The sequence below is a fragment of the Homo sapiens genome, chromosome 16 (assembly GCF_000001405.40).
Source record: "Homo sapiens chromosome 16, GRCh38.p14 Primary Assembly".
NCBI lineage: Eukaryota > Metazoa > Chordata > Mammalia > Primates > Hominidae > Homo > Homo sapiens.
In genome coordinates this window covers 52,114,340-52,121,009 of record NC_000016.10, presented here as the reverse complement: position 1 = coordinate 52,121,009, position 6,670 = coordinate 52,114,340, and the positions used below count along the sequence as shown (strand labels likewise).

The 6,670-nt window shown below is 36.7% G+C and overlaps 1 annotated feature.

Annotated features, from left to right (window-relative positions):
• Positions 2,030–2,530: an enhancer, noted in NCBI's record as "H3K27ac hESC enhancer chr16:52152392-52152892 (GRCh37/hg19 assembly coordinates)". NCBI's record gives its function as "activates a minimal SCP1, AML or CMV promoter by ChIP-STARR-seq in naive and primed H9 embryonic stem cells {active_cell/tissue: H9 hESC(naive and primed)}" and the evidence as "EXISTENCE:reporter gene assay evidence [ECO:0000049][PMID:30033119]".

Genomic DNA, 6,670 nt, shown 5'->3' with positions numbered 1-6,670 from the left:
TATTTCTGTTTGGATGATCTTTCCAGTGCTGAAAGCGATATATTAAAGTCCCCTACTATTATTGTCTTGGAATTAATTTTTCTCTTTAGCTGTAACAATATTTGTTTTATATATCTAGGTGCTCCAGTGTTGAGTGCACATAAATGTATAATTGTTATGTTCTCTTGCTGAACTGAACTCTTTATCATTATATAATGGCCTTCTTTGCCTCTTTTTATGTTTTCGTCTTAAAGTCTATTTTGTCAGATAAAAGTATAGCTATTCCTGTACACTTTTTATTTTTCTTTGCATGAAATACCTTTTTCTATCTCTTCACTTTTCAGTCTATGTTTGTCTTTACAGGTGAAGTGATTTTTTTTCTAGGCAGCTTATATTTGGGTATTTTTTTTGTAAAATTGACTAAACCAATCAGTATTTTTTAATTGGAGAATTTAAACTGTTTACATTCAAGGTTGCTTTTGATAGGTGAAGATGTACTCCTATTATCTTGTTGATTTCTGATTGTTTCATATGTCCTTTGTTCTTTTCTTCCTCTCTTACTGTTTATCTTCTTGATTTGGATTTCTGTAGTGATAATATTTCATTCCTCTCTCTTTGTTATTTGTGTTTCTACTCTGCCAGTGAGCTTTACATGTTCGTGTGTTTTTATGATGTTAAATATTATCTTTTTACTTCCAGATCTAGGACTCTGTTAAGCAGTTCTTGTAGGACTTGTCTAGTGGTGACAAATCCTTCAGTTTTTGCTTGTCTGGGAAATATTTTCTTTCTCCTTCACTTTTGAAGGATAGTTTTGCTGGGTATAGTACTCTTGGCTGCCTTTTTTTTTTTTCTTCAGCACTTTGAATATATCATTTCATTCTCTCCTGGCCTCTCAAGTTTCTGCTGAGAAATCTGCTATTAGTCTGATGGGAATTTTCTTATATATGACCTGATGCTTTTCTCTTGCTGTTTTTATAATTCTTTTTTTTTTTTTTTTTTGACTTTTGGCAGTTTGACTACAATGTGCCTCAGAGAGGAACTTTTTCAGTGAAATGTATTTGGAATAGCTGAGCTTCCTGTATCTAAATGTCTACTTCTCTTCTAAGACATGGGAAGTTTTTAGCTATCATTTTATTAAATAATTTTTCTAGGCCTTTTCCAATCTTTTCCCTTCTGAAATTCTCAACATTTCAACATATGTTTTCTTGATAGTGGCCCATATGTTATGTAGGCTTTCTTCATTCTTTTTCATTCTTTCTTTTTCTTTCCTCTTTTTTATCTGACTAGGTTATTTCAAAAGATCATCTTTAAGTTTAGAAATTCTTTCTTCTTCTTGCTCTAGTCTATTGTTTAAGCTCTTGATTTTATTATTTATTTTATTGACTGAATTCTTTATTGTCAGTATTTCTATTTTATTCTTTTTTATATCTATCTCTTTGTTGAATTTATCATTCACATTATGAATTGTTTTCTTATTTCTTTGTATTGTCTACTGTGTTCTCTTATATCTCACTGAGTTTCTTTAAGATCATCATTTTGTATTTCTTTTCAGGCTTTTAATAGATTTTTCTTTTCTTTGAAGTCTTTTACTGGAGAGTTATTGTGTTTCATTGCTTTTTCATATTTCTTTTGGTCTTGCATTAATATCTACATCTTTGGTGTAAAGGTTATTTCTTCCAATTTTATGGAGTAGCTTTTGTTGGGAAAGACATTTTACTATAGATATATCATAGTATCTGTTGGGTAGGGTACTTTGGCTTTAGTTCTGGGTGAGCATTGTAGTGCAGTCTCCATATAATTTCTTTGGCTGTAATCAGTGTTGGCGATGTCTATAAATTCCTCAATAGCTTAGGCTGTGGTCATTTGTGGAGGCTATGGTGAGACTCTGCTGGGGACTGGGGCCCCAGGTGGGCTGGTCCTCTAACCCCTAGGTGGTACACGAGGGCACCAGCTGTGGTGGTAGTCTTCCCTGGGTGGGCAGCTTCTCAGACCCTTGGGTGGCATGCACAGGACTCAGTGGTGGTAGCAGCAGCCCTTTAAGAGCCAGTTCTCAGGCCTCCAGAAGGCACACTCAGACTGTGGTAGCCATAGTGGCTGAAGCAAGCTAGGTTTTGGGTGTTGGGCAGCACACCTGAGTGCATGGTGGCCCCACAATTGGAGAGGAGAGGGTCACTGTCAGTGGCAACATCCCTGGTAGACTTCTTTCAGGCTTCAGGGAGTGCCCACTTTGGCTCCATTTATCCTGGGAGCAGCCTCTTTAATGTGCAGAACTGCCTGTTCCGTGGGTGGAGGGTGCTGTGTGGGCTCAAGTGTCAGGGATGTAGCTGCTTCCCTGGGTTCAGCTGGTGTCACCTGGGGAGATGCTGATGAGGCCCCAGTGATTTGGTGATACAGGGATTATTGGGCCCCAGGGCAGGATGTAGTCTGGTGTTGGCTCTTCTCTCAAAATGATGTCATGCTGCAGCAGCATGGACCCCAGGGAGTGAGGGGAACCCAGTGCGAACTTCCTCTAAGGGGCAAAGTAGTTGTGTGGACACCAGGCAGCTTCCTATACTGGGGGCCTCAGAGTCTCAGGGCCTTTGGAGGTTGAGGGGCTCTCTTGTTGCTAGGAATGCAGGTGTCTATAGTAGGAATATGACCTTTTAGGGATATCTCACCTTTTGTTTGCAAAGGGGAGTCCTTACTGCCTTTGAGCCAAAACTGGCTCACTTCTTCACTTCTCTTTCTATGCTGTTATTTCAAGTTTCTGTACATCTAGGTTCTCAGTCACTTCTCTGCTGAACTTCAGTCTTCTCAAGGATGGGATTAATAGTGACATAATGTCAAAGCTGAGAACTCCTGGGGAATCATTTTCCTGATTATGCCTTTTCCCCTCTTCCCTCTCTAGGAGGGCCTGGGAGGGTACCTAGACACACAATGCAAAGGACTTTGGCAACAAATCTCTTAATTTAACAGGTGTACAGAAATGTATTCTCTTTTTTCTAGGTGGTCACAGTCTAGTGGGAGAGAGGACAAAACAAATGATAAAGGCTATGACAAAGGGAGGTACTGGTTATTATGAGAACAAAAAGTGAGGTATTCAGCTTGGGCTGGAAGTTGGGAAGATCAAAGGAAGGGGTCAGACTTGAATGATAAAAAGAGCTCATTGACCTTCTTTACACAGCACAGGGAAATTCTGTGCAAAGGTATAGAGAAATGAGAGTTGCTGCAGTACCAGAGGATCCAAACTTGAGCATGGGATGCATTGTGGGAGGTCAGCACTGGAAGGCAGGCAGGAGCTGGATGTCAAAGCCCTTTGTATGACATGTTAAGGGGATGGATATTCATTTGTCAGGGGGTCAGAAGATCTAGGTTCCACTTTTAGGCTGCCAAGCGCTGGTTATGTAATTCTTGTCACCACTTTCTTTGGGCCTTAGTTTTCTCATTTCTAACCAGGTAGGATTAACCCCTTTGAGATGTCGTCAAGTTTTAAGCTGTCTATGATCTTTGTGTAAGAATTTTTAATGAGTTGTGATTCTTTTTTGTCTTGTTCCTGTTCCTGGTCTGCTTTTGTCAGAGATTGACCAGGTCAATTCTCACTGTATTCACAAACAGGAGTTTTTTTTTTACCTCAACATGTTAGGAAAAGTCTACTTCTCTTTTAAGCCTTTGGCCTTTGTCTTAGAGTGAAACAAAGAGCTGTTTCAAGTCAGACTGGAGTAATTATTATTCAAACCTTTTCCCTCTTCCATGCTGTGTGGTCTTTTTCATATTCATATGACTTTTCTGTTTTCATTGGACCGAATACAATTAATTTAATGCACTTTTTATTAAATTTTGTTTCTTACAACTAGAAAGACTTTTTCCTTCTCTCCACGTTGTGAGTTTGAACATGTTACTAAATGTTCAAGCTTTTAAAATACATTCAGTGGCCTTTTTTTCTTTCTATTTTGTTATGCCTTAACATGGTATAAATATTTTTGAGAAATCAAAAGATTAATAAACTAGAAAAATATAATTAATACCTGTGCTTTCACCATCCAGAATTAGATGCCATTTTTATTTTAGATTTGCTTCTGATTGAATTTAAACATTTTAATAAAATCATTTCAGATGAATGTAGAATTTTATTTGATTATTATCAATATAAAAAGCCTGTTCTCCAAACCCCCTACCATGTGCTTTATCTTCAAATGTGAAATGCACCCATTTAAGAAATCTATCCAAATTACAGACATCCAATATACATGTACAATAAATAGACACACAAACTAGATTCGTATTTTTTTGATGTTTTTTAAACTTTTTATAATGCATACCAAGAAACACAATTGAAAATTAAACTTCTATCAGAAAAATTAGATAAACAAGGATTAAGGAAATGAACAAAGGCCAGTGAAGGAAAGGGAAACAGTGGGGAAATGGCCAAGTGGCCATTGTATTTTTCTGTTGGCTGTGGATTACTTTTAATTGACTTCTCCTATTCTAAAGTCAATTTTGCCTTGTACCTGTCAACATGGGCTATAGAGACATTTGTCTTTTCTTTATCTTCAATTCGGTGCCCAAATAGTCTTCCTATTAGAGGGACACTGCTCAATGGGTGAGATACAGTTTTGCTTTCCCTATGAAAACAAAGATAAAAGAGTTTCCTTGTTTCCATCCTCTGAGAACTAGGGAAGGATGGATTCAAATGATCTTGTTCATAGTTTGAATCTTAAGACATCAAGGCAGACTCAGGGACAGTTGATAAATCATTCATGAGTTGGTTTGCAAGAATAATAAAGTTTCCTGATTTCTCCAATTTATTTTCAACACTACGTGTTTGTTGTAAGTACTTTTATAAATATTACCTCTCTTAATCCTCATAGCTTTATGCATTGAGTACTCTTATGTTATCTACTTTACATATGAGGAAACTAGTGAGATTTTAAGCAATTTGTTCAAATTTATTAGTAAAACTTGTTCCTGGATGAAACCCCAGGCATCTTGGCTTTATTGCCATGCTTTGCACCTTGGGCTTCCCCATCAAAAGTCCAGAACAATCATACAGACCAAACTGTTCCTATTGTGTAAACTAAGTCATGCCTCCTTATGGTCAGCCTTTCTTGATTGCTGCCCAAAGTTATAGCTGAACCCTCTAGTCTCCCACTGATTAATTAAATTGATTAACTAATTAACAAGAAATTAACAAATTTCTTGTTTTCCTTAAATTAGCTCAGGCTTGATTCTATTACTTGCAACCAAAAACCCTGATTGGTACATAGCCTCTGCTTCCAGTTTCTTAATGATATAATATTAATCCTTATTCATTTCCAATAAACTGCTTCAAATATAATACTAAGTACTAAACTTGATATTACAGGTTAGATTTTTATGCTTCAAATATAATACTAAGTACTAAACTTGATATTACAGGTTAGATTTTTATGCTTCAAATATAATACTAAGTATTAAACTTGATATTACAGGTTAGATTTTTATTCTTTTTTTCAAGTTATGACTTCTAGATATCCTCTTTCTGAATTAAGGCTTAATTTTAAAAAGGAAGTCAATCTTATTTCCCTCTTATTTTGGCAAACAACTTAATTAGTTGATGTGGATGGGAAAATAATGGTCTGTTAAGATATCTAGGACCTAATCCCTGGAACCCATGAATGTTAATTTATATGGCAAAAGGGACTTCACAAGCATGATTAAGTTATGGATCTTGAGGTGGCAATATCTATTCTGGATTACTTAGGTGGGCCCTAAATGTAACTAAACTATCTATATAAAAAAGAGGCAGAGGGAGATTTGTCTTCAGAAGAAAAGTGAGCAATGCGATGAGAGAAATAGGGATTAGAATTGTATGCTATGAAAACAGAGGAAAGAATCACAGACTAATGAATATAGGAGGCCACCAGAAGCTGAAAAAGGCAAAGACTTGGATTCTCCCCTCAGAGCCTCCAGGAAGAACCAGCTCTGTTAATAATTTGGTTTTATTCCTGTCAGACACATGATCTCCAGAACTATAAGAGAATAAATTCACGTTTCTTAAAGCGACTAGGCTTGTAGTAATTTGTTACAGTGGCAACAGAAAGCTAATTGTTGATGGAACGAGATCATCATTTTGTAGACTTATGCCTGGTATAGAAAACTGAGCATATTTTGACTCTATTATGTTTTTAGCCTAGGAAGGATTGATGACAACTCACACACATGCTTTGTAAGATGTTCAGACAGTTACTGGGAAAATTGTGTCATGATTTCTGTTGTAAAGAAGGCAGAGCACTTTTATTTTATGGTCAATGGATTTTTTTTTTTTTAAGGTAAATGATAGGAAAGCGCCAATTGGCATAAGCTTGATTAATTGTCAAAATTCACACCTCAAGTTGTCTTATGGGTTTTTTTTTTCATGAAGTGTCATTAACAACATTCCTGCCACCAGTTTTTCTAGTGAGTCATTCAATATTGATGGGAGCGGCAGCAGGAAGTAAGTTTGGCTGGAGTGCCAATGTAATGTGACCTACATCTAAAAAAAAATCCTGGGGAAACTGTCTGGCCAAAATAAAGCTCCTTTTCTGTTCTAAGTGCTATTTGTCCTTTAGAGAAGGGAAGAGTCAATTAATCACTGAGGCCGAGTCCTTTGAAAGATTACAAGGCTTGCAGAATATGTTGCTGTGAAAGCGATGCCCCTTGAAGATACTGTACACTAGAAGGTTTTATAAATTTA